Below are 20,483 nucleotides of genomic sequence, written 5' to 3' on the forward strand. Positions count from 1 at the left end.
TCTTAACGATTGGGATATGTTCTGAGGAATGCATTGTTAGGTGATTTTGTCATTATGTAAACATCATAGAGTATACGTGCACACACCTGGACGATATGGCCTCCTACATATCCAGGCTATGTGGTTATAGCCTATTGCTTCTAGGCTGGAAACCTGTACTGCGTGTAACTGTACTGAATACCAAGGGCAATTGTATCTCAGTGGTATTTGTGTATCTAGACATAGAAAAGGCACAGTAAACATATGGTATGAGAGATTACAAATTTTTACACCTGTATAGTATATTTATGATGACTGGAACTTGCAGGACTGGAAGTTGTTCTGGATGAGTGAGTGAGTAGTGAGTGAATGTGAAGGCCTCAGAGATTACTATACATGACTGTTGGCTTTACAAACACTGTGCTCTTAGGCTATACTAAATGTATATGTTTTGTTCTTCAACAAATTAACCTTAATGTAATTTATTTATTTATTTATTTATTTTTTGAGATGGAGTCTCGCTCTGTTGCCCAGGCTGGACTGCAGTAGCACGATCTCAGCTCACTGCAACATATGCCTCCCGGGTTCAAGAAATTCTCCTGCCTCAGCCTCCCAAGTAGCTGGGACTACAGGCTGCCATGCCTGGCTAATTTTTGTATTTTTAGTAGAGACGGGGTTTCACCATATTGGCCAGGCTGGTCTCGAACTCCTGACCTTGTGATCCACCTGCTTCGGCCTCCCAAAGAACTTTTTTAAATTTATAATTAAAAAAAAAAAAACTTACTGACTCTTTTGTAATAACACTTAGCTTAAAATGCAAACAGATTGTACATCTGTACAAAAACTTTTTTATATCTTTAAGGCTTTTCTCTATTTTTTTTTTTATTTTGTAAACCTTTAAAAACTAAGACACAAACGTATATGTTATTTTAGGCCTACACAGGGTTGGGACCATTAATATCAATGTCTTCTTCACTCCACATCTTGTCCCACTAGAAGGTCTTCAAGAATGATACCATGCATGGAGCTGTCATCTCCTATGATAACAATGCCTTCTTCTGGAATACCTCCTGAAGGGCCTGCTGGAGGCTGTTTTACAGTTAACTTTTTTTTTTTAATTATTAGAAAGAGTACATGCTAATGATAAGTAGTATAGTAAATAAGTAAACCAGTAGCACAATCATTTATTATCATGTATTTTGTACTGTACATAATTGTATTGTTATGCACACACACACACACACACACACACACACACACTCTGATATAAGTGGGTTGTAGTCCTCTGGTGACTTAGGCCGAGATAGTTTTTGAAAATGAAATGCCATACCTTCTTTATTGTAGTGGCAAATCAAAGCTAAGTAGCAGTAAAACTGTTAATGGACTAGGATACTTGATGCAGGGAGAGGGTCACAGGGCACAGGCAAGAATGCCCTTGCCCTAAAGACTGCAGAGTAGCAGAGCAGGAGCAGCACTTTGTGGAAAGACCCAGCTTAACCAGAACAATGCCCAAAAACCTTTGAAGTGCAGTGATGTGAGAGCGAGACTAGAAAACTTTCATTTAACAAATCTAGATAAACTTAAAATAAGAACAACAGCTATACTCTACCTGTGTTCTCTAGGTGCTAGGTATTGACTTCACACAAATGTTCATTTAAATCCTCTTATATAACCTTATCAGGGAGATAGTATAGTTATTCCCATTTTATTGGTGAAGAAACAGAGGTTTAGAGGATTAAGTGCTATGTACAAGGCCGCAGGGCTGGTAAATGGCAAAATTGGGATTTGAACCTGAATACATCTTTCTGCTTTTTGAGTTCCTACTATTAAGCACTCTCTCCTTTTTCAGTTTTAAAGGAATGTTGCAGCATAATATTACACATTAAGTTGCCCTTTCTTAGATAAATTAAAACCTTACCTAAAATGAATAATGATTCTAAGTTTGAACCATGAAATCTTCATAGCAAGGACGGATGTTATGTAACTGCTTAAACTTCTGTTCACAGATTTTTGACACTACCTTTCAAATTTATGACCTTCTTTCTATGTTTTCGTTTTTTCTTCCAGTTCTTCATACCTATAAACCTTCCTCCTTTTGACCTTGTTATTTGCATTTGAAAACTTGGTCCATAAAGCTTTCCTGAAAATCACATGGGAAGCAGTATTTCATACAGCTCCAGAAAACTTTTGGAAGGAAGGCTGACAGTGTTGGGGGCTTAATTCTACATGCTTCTTTATTCTCTGCATTTAGCTCCTGCCTGACATGTGCAGCATATTGCTAAACACATGTGAGACATTATTGTAGTGATATTTCCTATAGAAAACACCTTGGTATAATTCAAGATGAAAAATAGAATATACATGAGAGGTGAAAAGGCAACTTTGATTAGTAAAGTGCTGACATCCCAGTTGGAAGCACTGAGAAGTACATTCAATTGCCTCTGGCTTGCTGAATCTGTCTATCCCATACCCACCCCCATCTCACAGGGCTAACAGGGAAGCACATTTTGAAAATTCTGATGAATGCATTCCAATTCTCTTTTGGTGGGAAAGGCTGAGTTTGCAGGGAATTGGTAGTAAAGTATTGGCACTTTCTTTGTTTCTATAATATCAATAAATTGCAAACTGTCGTTTCTTTTACTGAACATGTGTTTCAAATACAGAGCTCATCATTAAGTCCTGTCATTTTGTGCAAAAAAAAAAAGTATGATTACATTATAGAGAAGCAGTTGACATTTATAAATAGTAAGTAGTGGCATAAAGACTTTTCTCTTTACGTAGTGCAACATGAACAGAAATCTCCGCAAGAAGTACCTGAAGATGGGTCTTAATATTTTTTTAAATATAATCCCCTGCTTAGGTAACATTACACATAGGTTAATGTGTATTTCACTTATTTCTTTGTAATACTTTTATTATCAATTTCAGAGCTCATTTCTGAGACAAAAATTCAGAACTAAAATTGATATTAAAACCATTGGAGTGGTGTTAATGGGAGACAGAGTTAAACAAATTGAGCCTTTTGTACATATTTACATTTCATGTGCTTTTTAAAAACTCAAAAAATGAATGGAATGCTTTTGAAAATCAGCATACTTATTCTACTTCTTCCTCTTTGAATAAACTGCTATCCCAGAATTTCTACTTTTTAAAAGCAGCAACAAGAAGTAAAACAAAACATTCAAAGCCTTGATGTTGAGATTTTGAATAATACATGTCTGTTTTAACATTTATCCTTAACCCCTTTCTATTTTTATCCTCTTTGGCAAAATTATGTAATAGCCTTAACTGGGTGAGCCATAGTCTCCAGATGGGTAAGATATACACAGAGAAGGAAGATATATTACAAAAGCACCTTTTAGAATATTCCATGTTCTGGCAATACAAACACGTTCTTCTGAAAGGTAGCTACTCCCAGTTTTTTGCAGTAATGTCAGGGAAACTTTATATGAGATGTAAAAATATTCCTGAGAAGTATTCTGAGTAGAAAATCCCAAAGGCCTTCTTTTTTTGTTGTTTTTAACAGGAAAACATGCTTGTACAGATGGCTAGTTGAATTTTCTAGCTTTTAAAATGGTGTACAATTTGTTGCGTTGGATCCTAAGTTTCTAGAGTGCTGCTATCTTATTGCTTCAAGGTACCTCCTAAAAGAAGCCCAGAATCTCTTGCCAAGATGCCTCCCATAGGAAGGTACCAGAACTCCTTTACATAAACATCTCTGTTCTCTCACCCAGCCCTCCCTGGCCTGTCTCCTTGACTTCTGTCATTCCTCCCTGAAATCCCTTTTCCATGAATACCTGCTTTCTAGATAGTCCTGAACTGCTGGAAAATAGATATTGTATTCCCAATAGACTGGGAGTAGAAAGGGCCCCTGGCCATTGATGGCTTTTAAATCTGGAATGTAGGTTAGAGCTACAAATTAGCTTGCAGCTACAGTCTATCTTAGAGAATTTCTTGATATCCAAGACTAATCCTAGGTATCAGATAACTTTTAATGGGCATGATAATTTTAGGCCTTTTACTTTCTGAGCATTGAATCTACCCAAGAATAGCAGCAAAGAGCTAAAAGTCTCTGGAACTGTACTGAAACACTGGGTGAGAAAGCCATTGACTTACCTTCTTAAGGAAATGAATGTTACGGTGAAATATGATTCAGGTCTGAGGGAATATCGTTTGACTATTAGTATCCCAGCTTTATTTGTACCTCTTCTTGAGAGTGTTTCTCATGAAGTTACCTTCCATTAATGTCTTCTATAGCTAGCTTTCTTTACCAGTTGGAATTGCATTTTGTATTTCTTTTTCTATCCTGCATCACCCAGCATAATGATAAGCAAGTAGATACCTTATATATTTATTAATGGATAAATATGAGTATTAACAACACATTGTGGATATATGTTCCCCTTTCCTGTGCGTGAGCTATAGTTGGCACAGTGAATTTCAGCATTATGTAGTTCACTAGTTCTTTGTAGAAATTGTTTTCTCAAAGGTAATTTCTTTATCGCCTTTAGTAGGAGATATGAAATTATTTTAAATAATTTTTTCTGAGAACTATACTGAAAAAATAGTGCCTAATTTATTAAGCTATTCCAGTGGTTATTGAGAGTAACCAATTTAGTTATAAATCTATTTTTATCACTGACATTCAGTTCATCCTACATGGTTTTCCAAAACGAACCTACCATTTTAAAAACCAAGATTGTTGGGTAGATTTTCTTCACAATTTCATCCAAAGTGAGAATCTCTGAGACAGCAGTAATATTTTGAGGGCAAAACCAAATTTTTCCAAAGGGTAACAGATAACATTGTTTATAATTTGCAAAATAGTCATAGTCAATTAGTGTGAAATACATATTTTAACTAAATGTGTACTGTGATTAAAGCTATAAGAAGTCTGTCTGACTATTTATATACAGTGAGAAGAGTCTTTCACAGACTGTTTGCTTAATTGCTGCATTTTTAAACACCACTAGCTATTTGAATTTCAGTTTGACACTGTTTTAGTTCTGAATATAGCCTGCCAAATTTGTTTATACGGTACATATGCCTCATGCAGATGTCTCTGACACCTTAATTGTTCTGTGACCTTGTACAAATTATTTAATTTCACAGGATGTCTGAATCCTTGTCAGCAAAGTGGGGAGTAACAGTACTGGTGCTATAGAATCCTTGACAGAATTATGTGAGATCTACTCTTTCCTTTATTCAGCACTCTGTGGCACACTCTAAGCTAGGTGAAACAGGGTGCCTGCCCTCATGGATCTTATTCCCTAGTGCAGGAATTAGTTGATAAATAAACACATAAATAAGCAACATAATTACAGGCATGACAAGTACTATACAGAAAATAAACAGGGACAGGTGTCAGATGGAGCCTGACTCTGGGAGACCTTTAGATGGGTGTTATGTCCAGTACTCTTGGAAGAGCATAAACAATAAATAGTAATTTTCTCCCTTCATCATCCATAGTTAATTTTTCTTTTTTTGTCCCGAGAGGGAGTCTCACTCTATTGCCAGAGTGGAGCGCAGTGGAGCGATCTCGGCTCACTGCAATCTCCACCTCCCAGGTTCAAGCGATTCTGCTGCCTCAGCCTCCCGAGTAGCTGGGACCACAAACATGCACCACCACGCCAGGCTAATTTTTGTTTGTATTTTAGTAGAGACGGGTTTCACCATGTTGGCCAGGATGGTCTTGATCCCCTGACCTCGTGATCCACCTGCCTCAGCCTCCCAAAGTGCTGGGATTACAGGTGTGAGCTACCGTGCCCGGCCTTCAGCTTTTATTTAATTATTATATTCACAGTCTATAAAACAAAAATATGGATAAGTAGTTTTTATCCTGTGAGAAATATTTTTAAAGTTTAAGATTTTGTAGCAGACATGTTATTGCTTCAAGGTTAACGGAGTGACTAGTACATTTTCATTATTTTGTGGCATAATATAAATTATTTTAAACTTTTTGTTTAAATAAAATGCAGGCCAACTGTTGCGCTGTTTATCAAATGATAGTCCTAATTAATATTTGTCTGTTTTTTCTTCTCAAGCATTTTGGTGCTATATTTCACAGAAGACATTTGTGTGCTAGCTTATCTTGCCACCCCACTTGAACAATTTAGGCAGCTGTTTTGTCTTGGATTTTTAGGTCCTATATAACCAGACAATCAGTCATTACTCTTGACTTCTCTTAATGAGCGCAGTCTTTCTGTATTCTTAGGTCATCTTCACTAAGGAGTGTCTTCCTGAAATTCAAGTAGGCCTCAGCAAGAGCATTGGATGGATGGATTATCTTTGCTTGTATTTTAGAGTTCTTAACCTGGCATTTGACGTTACTTTCACTTAACTCTTGCATTAACTCTGAACTTAACCTCCCCTGAACAAAGCCTTTACCCCAAACAGATTGCTTTAGCCACTGTCTGTTGCCTAGCGGGAATGTTCACACCTGTGTGGTTTTAGTTACTGCCATTTTACCTATCAGGCCCTCCTGGCTTTTTTAATTCCTGGGAAGTCAGCTGTGTTATAGAGGAGAGGTCCCCAACCCTGGGCTGCACAGCAGGAGGTGAGTGGCTGATGAGTGGATGAAGCTTCATCTCTATTTACAGCTGCTCCGCATTGCTGGCATTACCACCTGAGTTCTGCCTCCTGTCAGATCAGTGACAACGTGTTGGATTCTCATAGGAGTGTGAACCCTATTGTGAACTGTGCATGCAGGGGATCTAGGTTGGAGACGCTTTATGAGAATCTAATGCCTGATGATCAGTCACTGTCTCCTGTCACCCCCAGATAGGACCATCTAGTTGCAGGAAAACAAGCTCAGGGCTCCCACTGATTCTACATTATGGTGAGTGTTATAATTATTTTATTATATATTACAATGTAATAATAATAGAAATAAAGTGCATAATAAATGTAATGTACTTGAATCATCCCCAAACCATCCGCCACTCCACCACCACCAGTCCAGGGAAGAATTGTCTTCCACGAGGCTGATCCCTGGTGCCAAAAAGGTTGGGGACCACTGTTATAGAAGACATAATGCTCAGACTTGATATCAGACCTGATTTGCTACTGTGTGATCTTAGGCAAATCCTTTCACCTCTCTGAGCTTTAATTTCCTCATTGGCATAATGTAGTTAGTACATTTACTCATATCATCATTTCAGGTTAATTGAATCTGCTTTGAAAGTGCTCCACTCCTAGTCTGTCTTTCCTCTGCATTTTTTCCACCCTGGTTTCACAGCGCACTTCATATTAACATTCATCTATTTTCTGTAATATATCCTATATTAAGCTTTATTGCAGCCCTACCTTGACCCTATTCCACCTTTTCTTCTGTTTTTTGTTTGTTTTTGTTTTGATTTTTGGTAGGTTGTCAGATAACAGAGATAAATTAAGATTCTCAAAAAAGTTTGGGGATTACCTGTTTATTGTAATGAACCATCTTTTCAATTGCTCGAACAGTATTTAGTATAAATGAAGTACAAGAAATGGTCTGTATGAATTAACAATTTCTTTTCCATGGTGGACCCATAGAAATACATTAAAGAAAAACTCATGGGGGTATAGCATGTTCCTAAGTGTAACATTGGGAAAACAACAAAAGGAAAAAAGGACAGAAATACACTCATGGTAAGTAGTAAGCTGGCTGGACAATACAAAGAGAAAATATAATAATGCAATCCTGTTGGCACATGTAATAGGATGTGATGTACTGCCAAAATGGATTGTCTAATCTGAAAGTTTCCCCAGCTTAAAAAAATCTTGGAGATAAGAACATTGGCATTCCATTCTAAGACTTGTTAGGTTTCAAATGATTGAGAATATGTTTATTATTATTATTATACTTTAAGTTCTGGGATACATGTGCAGAATGTGCAGGTTTGTTACATAGATGTACACATGCCATGGTGGTTTGCTGCACCCATCAACCCGTCACCTACATTAGGTATTTCTCCTGATGCTGTCCCTCTGCTAGCACCCCTACCCCTGACAGGCCCTGGTGTGTGATTTTCCCCTCCCTTCGTCCATGTGTTCTGATTGTTCAACTCCTACTTACACTTGAGAATGTGCAGTGTTTGGTTTTCTCTTCCTGTGTTAGTTTGCTGAGAATGATGATTTCCAGCTTCATCCATGTCCCTGCAAAGGACATGAACTCATCCTTTTTTATGGCTGCATAGTATTCCATGGTGTATATGTGCCACATTTTCTTTATCTATGTTTTAAGCATAAATAATAAAGCGCTGATAATCTGTAAACTTTACTTGAATCTATTTAAAGTATTTCTTGGTCCTTTCATGGTAATCTTCTTTAATCTTTCCTTAAAATAACCCTATTGACTAACATATTATAAATATTTTCCTACTGTGTGTCATGTGAGCTCCAGTGTTTTTACCAATTCACACATGTAGAGAGGAACCTTCCCCCCACCATAAACCAGTAAACTAGCAAAAATCAGTAGTCTGTAATGTGGAATACTGGTTTTAGAAGAAATTCTATTTTGTTTGTGTAATCAGTTCATTTTATTGTCAGCCAATTTTCTACTCTTTCAGAGATTATTATTATTTAAAACAAATTCACTTGCTACATAGTCTTTTCAAACCACAATTTATTCATTTATATTTTTTCACAATTTATTTTTAAAAAATCAGAACAAACCAAAAACAGTTGCCCAACTACAGTACAAAAGAAATGCATTGTAAATTCAGAGCCACATTTTAAAAATGAAATTTGAAATTATTTTAAATTATAGTTAAGTGCAATGAAACAAGATATGCATAATTTTGGAAACAGGGAAAAATAGTTGCATGTAGAGACTGGGCCCTATTTTGGATAACATAGAACTTAGTCACTCAATTATGATTTTTGAAACAGTTTCAGAACAGTTGATTAAAAATTAGGCCCATCTACTCATTCTTTCTGTTTATGTTAGTGCATGTAATATATTAGTATAGCACAGTTTTTTTTTTAATTAAAAAAGACCTATCATGTTTAATATCAGGAGAGGTTAGGATTCTTTTAGGGTGTGTAGTAAATTATTGTTTTTAAATATTATGGCTGAATATGTCACATTCAAAAAACATACATTAAAATTATCTAATAGAATCAAATGATGCAAAAATATGGAGTGTATGTGTGTTAGTATGCATTAGAAAAGGAGTAAAGTGGGAGATTATGAAAGATGGGTCTGGGATTATTATCTAGAGAATGGTAAAATCTGTTACCTCTTGCCTGGACTGTTAACATAATTACTTAATTGGTCTCCCCTTTCCAGGCTCTTAGCCACTTCAAGCCCTCTTACATTCTTGTCTGAGGAATTCATGAAGTACAGCTTTGCTTATGTCCTTTCCACCCCATTCAGTGGCTCTTTCTGGCTTACAAAAGGAAGTAGACAATCTGTAATACAGTATTTGAAACCTTCCCCAAGCTAGACTTTTCTAGGTGCTCTTTCAAACTTGTTTCCTGCTGCTCTTATTACAGATGTATTACTTGTCACTGATGCCCCAATGTATGATATTTCCTCTACCTAGATATCTTTTCCAACTCTTCATGTATAAATTTAGCTTCTTTTTTGAAGCTATTACCTGATACTTCTAAATGGAAATAGTCCCCTTGTCTTTAAAATTACCAGAACTCTTTATCTGAATGTCTTTTGTGACACTCTTTGCCCTATAACCTTATATTCTATTAATAGCTATTTATATGCGTGCCTTGTTTCCTTTCTTAGGATAGGTTTCTAGTTCATTTTGTGTTTCCACTGTCCCATAGCACAGAGCACATGAGAGGTCTCACCATACAGTAGGTGAATAAATATACAAATGAGCTATTCTGAAATTTGGTATAAAATATATTCAAGGTGAGACCACTTCTGCCTGCCTTGCCTTGCCTTCTTCTTCCTTCATCATTCTTCTTCCTTCCCTCCCCCTGCTCCTATTTCTTTTGTCTCATCCATTATTACCTTTTTTCTCCTAGCTTAGAAAACAATGAATTAATTGTTCTGCTTTCTCTTTTGCATCTATGTCTACACATACTGTATTTCTGACCTAGATATCTAGCTCTTCTACAACAATTTCAGAAAGTAGGTATACTCTGTTATTATTCTAAGAAAAACAAAAGGGACTTCTTATTTAATTAATTATTTTTTTTTTTTGAGACAGGCTTTTGCTCTGTCACCCAGGCTGGAGTATAGTAGTGCAATCATGACTCACTGCAGCCTCAACTTCTTGGGCTTAAGCAATTCTCCCAAGTAGCTGGGACCAAAGATGTATGCCACCACACCTGTCTATTTTTTTTCTATATTTTTGTAGACACAGGGTCTCACTATGTAGCCTAGGCTAGTCTCAAGCTTCTGAGCTGAAGTGACCCTCCTATCTCAGCCTCCCAAAGTACTGGGATTACAGGCATGAGCCACTGCACCCACCCATTCTTATTTAATTTTTGATGACTTCTAATGGGAGAAGCACATTATCTATTTTCATTTTCCATCTCTATTATAGTAAAATCATTTGTTGTATCTGAAAACAAGCAGGAATGACAAAGTTTTCCTTCAGTCCCTGGATTATTTAGGTCACTTTCATTCTGGCTACCAAATGGTAGAATGCATGCTAACCCTGACATTACTAGTACTTCCTAACTTCATAGCTTAACATTGTCGGGACCTTACATGAGATATTTAACCTCTGGGAACTGCAGTTTCCTGATTTGTACTATGAGGCTAATAAGAATACCTCATGGGATTGCCATGAGGATAAAAGCTACATATTATTGTGAGAGTTAATGGTAGACGTTGTAATTACCTTTGAACAGGCCACTGAGGAGAGGATTCTACTGATAGTACTAATTGTCTTCCTAAACAAACAGCAGCAGTCCTGTTGAGACATCTTCTCTCCTTACTTGAAAATTTATAATATGCCACTTTAGTTTTATAAACATTTGCTATAGCTATGAAATTTTTAACTTGAGCTTAAGCAACTTAAAATTGAGTTATAAAAGCAATATTGTCAGGTTAACATAGGAACTGCCTAAGACCTCTAGCCCTTGATGGGTGATAAGAAAACTAAATTGTATAGAATCTATTATTACTTATCTAATTTGCTATAAATAACACTGATAATACACTCTTTCTTAAGTGTACTATGTATGTTGAGTATATTTTTAAAAGAATAAGGGCTCTCATGGGTACATTGATGTTGTGGATCTGTTATCCCCGCTTTTTCCTTGAAATATTTTCTTTTTGTGAACAAGTTGTTTAGAAATAACCCTGTGATTATGCAGGTGTTGCTGGTCTTGAGACCCTGTCCAGGATTATATGCCCAAGGGAACAAAGGACAGTAGCTTTTTATGCCATCCATTGCACTTGAGTGCCCTTTTCCCCAGTGTATATGAAATGAACTATTTGGAAAATGGATAATTTAAAAATAGAAGTATCAGTTAACTAACAGTCAGATAACATTAGCAGTTATCTTGAAGTCACTGGCAAAAACAGAGTTTAAAAAAACTCTGGAAAAGGTTGTGGTTGATTGGTAAATGAGAATGTGTATTAGTATATGTAAACCAACCTGTGGTCTTCAGAGTAGCCATCATTAGAATCATCTGGGGAGCCTTTAAAATACACTTATGCCTGGGACCCAGCCAAAACTATCTAAATAAGAATTTCTGGGAGTGGAGGCTGGATGTAGGAATTTTTTATTTATAATATACAGTCATGGTCAAGGACCAGTGACTAAGCTTTACAGTATTGTCAAGTGATGTGATAGCTGGACACCCAGAAATGCCCTTCTGTCTCTTATTCATTCTACAAACATTTATTTGAAATGCTTAGGTTGCCAAAATATATAATTCCTAATCAAGAACAGTAGACAGACTTGTAGAAATTATCTATAATATAGCTTGGGAGGTGCTGAATTCACTACTGTGAGTTTATTCTACTTGGCAAGAAAAGAAGGGAGGGAAAGTGAAAGAAAACTTCTTTAGTAAGTGACATTTGAAAAGGGTCACTTCTCATAATCAAATTTAACCTATTAAAATGATTTACTTTTAATATCAACTCCTTTTAAAAACAGATGCCCAGTTTCTTAATGGTAAGTGAAATGAACATGAGTTGATTCTTACTTTGGCCTGAGGAAAGCTTTGTCACAGCTACTCTAGGAGCTACTGTTTCTTGAACACAATTTCCCAAGTGAAGGTACGGCTTGGGCAGGGAGTTTTGAGTACCTGCATAAGGTCATGTAGCTAGCGGGTGAGAGAGCTGCAATGAACACAGGTCTCATTGGTTCCTGGATATGTGTTCTTTCATTGCACTAAACTATACTATAGTCCAGTGAAAGAGGCTTCGTTTGGGTTAATTCATTAAAGGAGATTTGCGGCTGGACGTGGTGGCTCACGCCTGTAATCCCAGCACTTTGGGAGGCTGAGGTGGGCAGATCACGAGGTCAAGAGATCGAGACCATCCTGGCTAACACATCCTGGTGAAACCCCGTCTCTACTAAAAATACAAAAAAAATCAGCCGTGTGTTGTGGCAGGCACCTGTAGTCCCACCTACTCGGGAGGCTGAGGCAGGAGAATGGCGTGAACCTGGGAGGCAGAGCTTGCAGTGAGCCGAGATCGCGCCACTGCACTCCAGCCTGGGTGACAGAGCAAGACTCTGTCTCAAAAAAAAAAAAAAAAAGATTTACTAGAGGCTTTGTTGGGTTAGTTCATTAAAGGAGGTTTTAACTTGATGGTGAGCTGGCAAACTCTGACAAAGGAAATGTTGAAGGAACAGGAGAAAAGGATGCTTTCAAGCATCTCTGGAGAAATTGACCTGAGTGATGGGAACCAGGGGTTGCAAGGTAAAGAACGTGCTAGGAGAGTGAGAGCAGCCTGGTCATTTTCCTTTTCTGAGTACCAGACCATAATTGAGGCCCCTGTATATATTCCCCCATTTAATATTCACGTTATCCCTAGCCTGGTATTCTTATCCTCATTTTCATAGAAGAGGAGGTTACAATTCAATGAGGTTTAATAATTAACCCAAAGTCTCACTGTTCATAAATATCAAAGTTGGGATTTGAACAAGCAACTTTCTGATTTCACTTCATGTGATTTTTAACCATTGAGCTGGGACTGTATTGCTCTTTCCATGTCAACTCCTGGGACTGTTTCTCTGTGCTTGTCTCTAAGGCTTGTGTATATGAGAAGCTTACAAGCTTAGGATACAGATACCTCTAACAGGTGACCATATTGTTTACTTAGGTGGGAGCAGAGCCACAAATTTGTACTTGGATAACAGTAGTAAGCAGTTAACTGAGAAAAGGAGGAAATGGTAGAAGACTAGAGGAGAGAAAAATATATTTGAATGAAGAAAAAAATGGGGCTATAGTATGTCAGTTTATGGACCCTGAAAGAGATGCAAAAGGAATGTTTGAGAGCTGTTTTATTGGACAGAATATCCTATATTCTGAAATATAGTCAGGACTCATTCACTTGGTAAACACTTATGGGGTTTTCTTGGCCTGATATAGACTGTGGGCATGAGCCTCCTTCTGGAGGCTGTCACCAGGGAAGGAAGATGTGTAAACAGTGCCCAGTATTAGGAGAGGAACATGTACAAAATACAAAGGAAGATACAACAACTATTTCTAATAAAAGCCACCTGTTTTCAGCACAGGTAGAGAGTGTAGAAATCACAGATATATTCCTTTACTCACTTAATGCACCCGAGCAGAGTGTTTAGCAGATCCAGGCTTTCAGCCTAAATGTTGTTGGTGTGATAGCAAGAAAAAAAAAAAAATCGTGTGACAACCTTCTGTGCTTTCCCCTCTCACGTTCACATTCTGGTTTGTTAAAAAAAAAACTGTGTTGCCATGGCTGACGCTCCTGTGAGGCCCAACATCTCCATACTTTTCATCTTAACTAAGCACTTAAGAATATGCACTACAGCTTCTGATTGCCATTTAGAACAGAGCACCTTGTGATGACTAAGCTCTTTCAAGTATCTATGCTTAACGTGATGGCTTCAATACCCTTTTGCTATATAGACTCATCTGTAGATACTTGGTACAAGTTCCATAGTTTATAGTTGTCATCTATTTTTATTTGTATGTTTATTGTTAATATGGATCTTTTTCTGAAAAACTATTCAAGGATACTAGACACATACTGTATATGAAATGATTCTAAAAATTCTGAGACTTTTCTATTTTATTCTCAGTGGTAATTTTTAGGTAGTTTGTTGAGTGTTACTTTAGCTATTTGGGGAACTGCCCTAGAAAACCAGTGGAATTCTCTAGGTATGGGGGTGGAGTGCAGAGGAGGAGACAGGCTCAGATAACCTGTGTTGTGATACTGCTTTTTTTTGCCTCAAGAGATTTTCTTTACCCTTACTGCTTATGCTGTTGCAGTCCATCCAATAGAAACATGTTCTGGGCTCATGAGCCAATTTGTCTTTCCCCTCGCTGCTGCCTCAAGTCTGGGAGAGCTGATGGCAGTGCACAATTTTAGCAAATGGTCATAGGCAGGGGGGTGGGGCAGGGAGGGGAGTGTTTTCTCCATGGGGACAGAGCCAGTGTCATTGAGCACATTTTGTTCAAGTACAAAGTTGATCTGTCTGAAGGAGACTGTGGTCAGCAGTGGTGAGAACCTTTATTGCCTCACCTTTTCTTCGTGCTCTGTCATTGTTTATGTGAAGCAGTAGCATTTAATGGCTGGACTTGAGGCAGAATTTGTGAGGTCAGAAATTGACAGTATTTGTTTTTCAGTTAGGGAATCTCACAGATTTAGAAAGGAGTGCCAATGAAAAATTGGGAAAAAGAAAGGGTCTTTGTATTTGGCAAAGACAATGCAGAGCAGTGTAATATATACTAATTTCTGCATGTAAATGGCAGCCAAAATTTTACACATCTGCTACAGTTTAGAAAATTATTTAAGCACTAATTATATGCATAATATATGCTGTCCCATCTAGAAGGCTGAGTAGACTTCAATGGAAGAGTTACAGTGGAAATATTGACATAGGTTGTTGGAAACATATTACATAATATTATACTTTGAAATTTATCATGACTGAATAAGTGTTATCACTTTAGAGATACTTTACTTTATTTGTAGGGATATGTGGGATCTAGCAGGTACAAATACAACAAATGCCTCATATAAATACTAAGTAATGATGTTATTATTCTCAAGCTGACTTAACCAAAATGTTTTTCCTCTCTGATTTCCTTTAGTTACTTTTATATTTCTCAATAAAGACTTGCCCCTTAAAACATACCATCCTATATTACTGTCTAACTTTATATCTTTAATTTTATGTGTTTGTATGTATGTTTACATATATATGTATGTATATATACACACACAAAGATATATAACTTTTTCATTATATAATAGTTTTTAAATTATTTTATATCTAAATATAATATATAACTATATATAATTAATTTTTCATTATTTGTGTTATATCCAAATTGAAGAGGCATGTCAGTGAAATATATAGATAATCCAAGAACCTCTTGCTTCACTAGGTTTCTTATTGAAGTAGATAATATGAAGCAATATTTTAACTTCTTTGGTGTTCCATTTCTTAAAAATATTGTTGATACTGTAAGACAGGTTCCTCTGAGGAAAAAAAAATGACAAGTAAATTGAAATTTACAAAAGCATCTAAATTTTTCCCATTACACTTTGGAAATGCTATGTGGATTAGTCTTCTCCAAATTCAGTTGCTTACATTATGAAATATCTTCTCCTTTGCAGAACTCAAAAGGGTTGAAGACTTCCATTTGGTTCTGACCTAGAGTCATCTGTTTCTAGTATTAGCAGTCAATGATTAAACAAAAGCAAAACAACTTACAGATGATCAAGTGGGATACACTTGGTACAAATACATATCCCTACAGTAATGATTAGGAGCACCTAGTTTGTAGTTAAACTGCCTGGGTTCAGTCACTTGTTTTGTCGTACTTAAGTATTCAGAAAAACTGAAATGTTACAAACAACCCTTCCCAGTAATACTGAGAGAGGATTAAGGGAATTAACATTGGTAAAGTTTTGAAAACAGTACCTGGAATATAGGAAGCACTATGTAAGTTTTATTATTCCTGTGTTATAATAAAAATATACCTTTTGGTTTTTAGTCAGTACTTCCTGAAGGGAAGGAGAGATTTAAAGTTGGAGCATTTTTGCTTTGTAAATGTACTAGGAACTAGTCTTAAACTATGTTTAAGCAGTCTGTAAAGAACTGCTTAAATAAGTCTTTCAAGAGATTGTTAGAAGAAAAATTGGATGCATTTGACTTAAGAAGTTTACCTCTGTTTTATCCCCAGGAAAGCTCTAGAAATTTAATAGAGACAGTCATACTGTAAATCCACCTAGTAATGGTACAATGATAAATTGGATAAATATTTATAACACATTTTGTGTTTCTCCACTGAAAGGCATGCTCTACACATAGAGCGCTAACATTTATTATGTAAATGTTAGGGCTTTTAACTATTAGCCAAGATTGAAAAGTGTCTGATTTGGATGTCATAAAACTTCAGAAGTATTTCAGCTACAAACAGTTTAGAAATCTGATTGTTGCTGTACTGAAAAAATAATGAAGCAATTTAAAAATAATAGAAACATAGTGATCTGCCATTTCCAGTTTCATGATGCTATAAAAAAAGCAGCCAACAAATGTTGGAGTGTTCAATGATGCTGGCACCTACCAAATGTCACTGGGCTTTCACAAGGTCATAGAGACTCTGGTTTGGCTCAGGGATGGTGGTCAGATCTGTCTTTGGAGCCTATGAAGACTATGGAATAGTGGCAGACAATAGGTGCAGTTAAGCCCTGCATAGCATTAACCTCAGCAGTGGTGATACACTTTTCTAAGATTCTCTGGGATAGAGGAGGCCATAGGTATGAAAAAAAAGTGAGACTTTCTTTTTACAGCATCCCATCACAAGCAACTCTAAATAGAAGAGCCTTATAGGCCCACTCTGAGGAGATTAAGATTTCTTCAGATGACTATCAGCTAAAATTGTGTGCTGAAATAACTGCTACTGCAACAGTTGTATGTGTATCTGATTTCTCACAGGCAAAAGCTGCTGGAGAAAAAAGTGGTATTTTTTGTCACAAGAATGTGTGTGTGATTTGTTGCCTTTTTCCCTTTCTCAGCCCTCTCAGTGGCAGCTACTTTGACTCTCATGCATTACATAATGTTCTGTAGAAGTGTAGAGTTTCAGTTATGCCATTTTCAAGATGATTAATGGGAATTGTGCAATTAAAGCTCTTAGGTTCTCTGGGGAAAAAAAAGTCATAGTATCCCAGTGTTTGAGTGGGGGTGTGTTGATATTGCGTCAATAGTGAGGATATTTTGGGATATCGTAAATGTCGCTATTGGTTTCAGTATCTGAGAATCTTCACCATTAAACTTAGGAGTGTTCTACAAAATAGTGCCTAGAACAGCTATTGAATACTCAAGAGGGCTGTTTAAGTAGCTAGAAAAGTCTAACCTAAAATCCCATTTGTGATTAGATTATGCACTGATGAAAAAATGTTTAATGCCGTTAAAAAGAATCTATTACATTATATTCTTTCAGGCCATGGTAAAGTTACAAATTTGAACTCAATAGGCTGTGTGTGTATTTGTATGTGTGTATTTTTCTTTCTTTTATTGGCAGTCTCAATAATTGTTAAGCCACTGTGTGTGTGTGTGTGTGTGTGTGTTTGTGTGAACTTTTCACAGGACCAGGAAAGGGGAAAAATCTACATTTGTTTTATATTGTGTTTCATTTGAAAACATGTTTTATATCTGTGGTAAAGTAATTGAAAGAAACTGGGATTATATCAGTGGAAATATGTTCTTTTTTTTTTTTTTTTTTTTTTTTTTAGTTTGTTTCACTGGTACGAAAAAAATCTCCCAGCTCTTGTGGTTGAATTGAGCTCCATGCATTTGCTGTTACGCTGATTGGGTGAATAAATAGCAATTTACATCTAGAAAGTTAAGCTTTAAATATTGATTAGGATTGCTATATCTACCTTAATTTAGAAGACTAGAGATTGCTTGCCTAGCAAAATAAGAGAATTGCCTCATTTTTTCACCTTCTGTGGGGATGCTAGGCATTTGTTGCTGGTGTTACCTGAAAGACCAATGAAGAAATCAAAACAGTAGAAGTTGTGTTTGATTTAAAGAATAGTTTCTTGCCTTTAAAGATGGTAAAACTATGAAATAAGTACAAGGGTGCTATGATACTAAACACAGACAATTATGTAATAAAAAAATCCTATTTACTTATTTAGGTTAAAGAGTCATGAATATTTGAGAATTTAAACATTAATAGAAAAATTAGTGTTACTACAATAGCAAAGACATGGAATTAACCCAAATGCCCATCAATGATAGACTGGATAGAGAAAATGTGATATCCCTACACCATGGAATACTATGCAGCCATAAAAAGAAACATAGTTACATCCTTTGCAGGGACATGAATGGAGCTGGAAGGCATTTTCCTCAGCAAACTAATGTAGAAACAGAAAAACAAACACCACATGTTCCCACTTATAAGTGGGAGCTGAACAATGAGAACACCTGGACACGAGGGGAACAACATACACTGGAGTTTGTTGGGGAGGGCGAGGCAAGAGATTGAGGGGGATTGGGATAGCAGTAGGAAAAATAGTGCATGCTGGGGTTAATACCTAGGTGATGGATTGATAGGTGCGGCAAACCATTCACTGTGGCACATGTTTTCCTATGTAACAAACCTTCACATCCTGCACAGGTACCCCAGAACTTAAAACAAAAAACAATAGTGTTAATATGAAAATATATTTCCTCCATAGTTTAACATATGATTTAAACATAGTAGATACATAATATTTACTTATTAACAGGATATATACTATGTATATTTACTCTGTGGTATAGTATACTACTTGTAAAACAAATAACAGCATCAAAACAGTGAAATCTCCCTAGAGACTTTTCAAAGAAAAAAATGAATGTAATGTATCTGTTATAACTACTCTAAAAATTTTAGGCTTTATTTTATAGTGCTATAAAAGCTCTTAAGAGTTTATTCAAATAAAACATGAAATATAAATTATGTCATATATCCTAAGTTTTGAATTTGTAACACAAGCAAAATCTGTTTGTAATACATATGCTGCTGTTAGAAATAGGTGCATAATTGGGGTGAGTATATAAGTGTGTATTTATGCATAATTATACACTGTTATATTTGGTATTATGATAACTATTGTTATAACTGGTTATGATAAAATCTGGTATACTAGATACTGGTATAACTGGTATTTTGTTATGATATCCCAGGCAGATGAATACAGCCCCCCACTAAATTCCATGAGGTGTAAAGTGGCGGTTGGCTCTCAACAAAGGGTGATGCTGTCCTCCCTCCTCCCCGCCAAGACATGTCTCAATATCTGGAGACATTTTGGTTTATCAGAACTGAGGGTAGGGGTAATATAGGCATTTAGTGGTTGTAAGTTAAGGATGCTGCTAAACATAGTACAATGCACAGGACAACTCCCACAACAAAAATATATCTAGCCCAAAATGTCAGTAGTGCTGAGGTTGAGAAATTGTGAACATCTTTTTAGGATGTATGTGCTCTTGTAAGCTAACCCAAGTCCTTTACGGAAACAAGTGAGTTATCAGGAAATATACATTTAAGAGCAACAATATACTTCGTGTTAGATGCAGTTATTTTCAGTACTTGCAAAAGCCAGTAAACTGTGATTCTTAGAGTGAATCAAACTCATATCTACCAAATGAAAACATAACCCTGAAGTATATATGTGTGCATGCATATTTATATTTGTATGTATGTGAAGTATAATTTTCTCTTAAAATCATTCACCTTATAAGCTGCCATAAATTTTCTAACACTAGATACTTGTAATTTTTAAATAAATATTTTATATACGTGTATGTGTTTGTGTGTGTGTGTTTATTCACCCAGGCATTAGAATTGATAACTAAAAAGCATGGCAGAGCCATAAAAAACATTTTTTGCAAGTGTGAAATAATATGGCTTGACTGCCAATGTTACTATTTTTGGCAAAAATTTTCTGAAATATTTGTATCATCTTAGCTGAAAAAAAAAAAAATGGTAAGAATTTTCAATAGCTAACTACCAAACTTGTTAGCCAGAGTTTCTGGGCAATATCTGAGCAATGAATACCCAGAAAGTGCTCCAAAAACATTTGCATATATCAGCTATCCCAAAAGGAAATCTTGGTTTTAACAATTTAAATAAATAATTATAGCTTGAACAGTCTTACCAGAAAACCATAATGAAAATTTGAAAAGACTTATGAATATAAGCTAGTAGCCCTGTACTTTTCCCATTGCTCCTTTATTTCCAGAGTCTACTTAAATAGAACTTGGTAATTGTAATCCTGCCACATAGTTACCATTTGGCTGCTTAATAACATGTGTCTTTAGACTCTGACTCCACAAATCACAGTATTCCTTTTAAGTAGAAGAAATATAATTAAAAATGGAAAATTAGTTTTCATT

General features: G+C 36.2%; 1 protein-coding gene across 130 annotated transcripts in view; it reads left to right on the forward strand.

Moving 5' to 3' along the window:
- MBNL1 (muscleblind like splicing regulator 1) overlaps positions 1–20,483 on the forward strand; it is a 222,149-nt gene that overhangs the window by 145,776 nt on the left and 55,890 nt on the right. For 2 of the 130 annotated variants that reach the window (NM_001314057.2, NM_001387800.1), the window contains one exon: positions 6,760–6,817. The exons of the other annotated variants lie outside the window; for them this stretch is intronic. In NM_001314057.2, the coding sequence (NP_001300986.1) occupies positions 6,815–6,817 (3 nt within the window). In that variant the 5' untranslated portion in view covers positions 6,760–6,814. The remainder of the gene's footprint in view (positions 1–6,759; positions 6,818–20,483) is intronic. 130 annotated transcript variants of the gene reach the window in all.

Source organism: Homo sapiens, chromosome 3, assembly GCF_000001405.40.
Source record: "Homo sapiens chromosome 3, GRCh38.p14 Primary Assembly".
In the NCBI taxonomy this organism is placed as follows: Eukaryota; Metazoa; Chordata; class Mammalia; order Primates; family Hominidae; genus Homo; species Homo sapiens.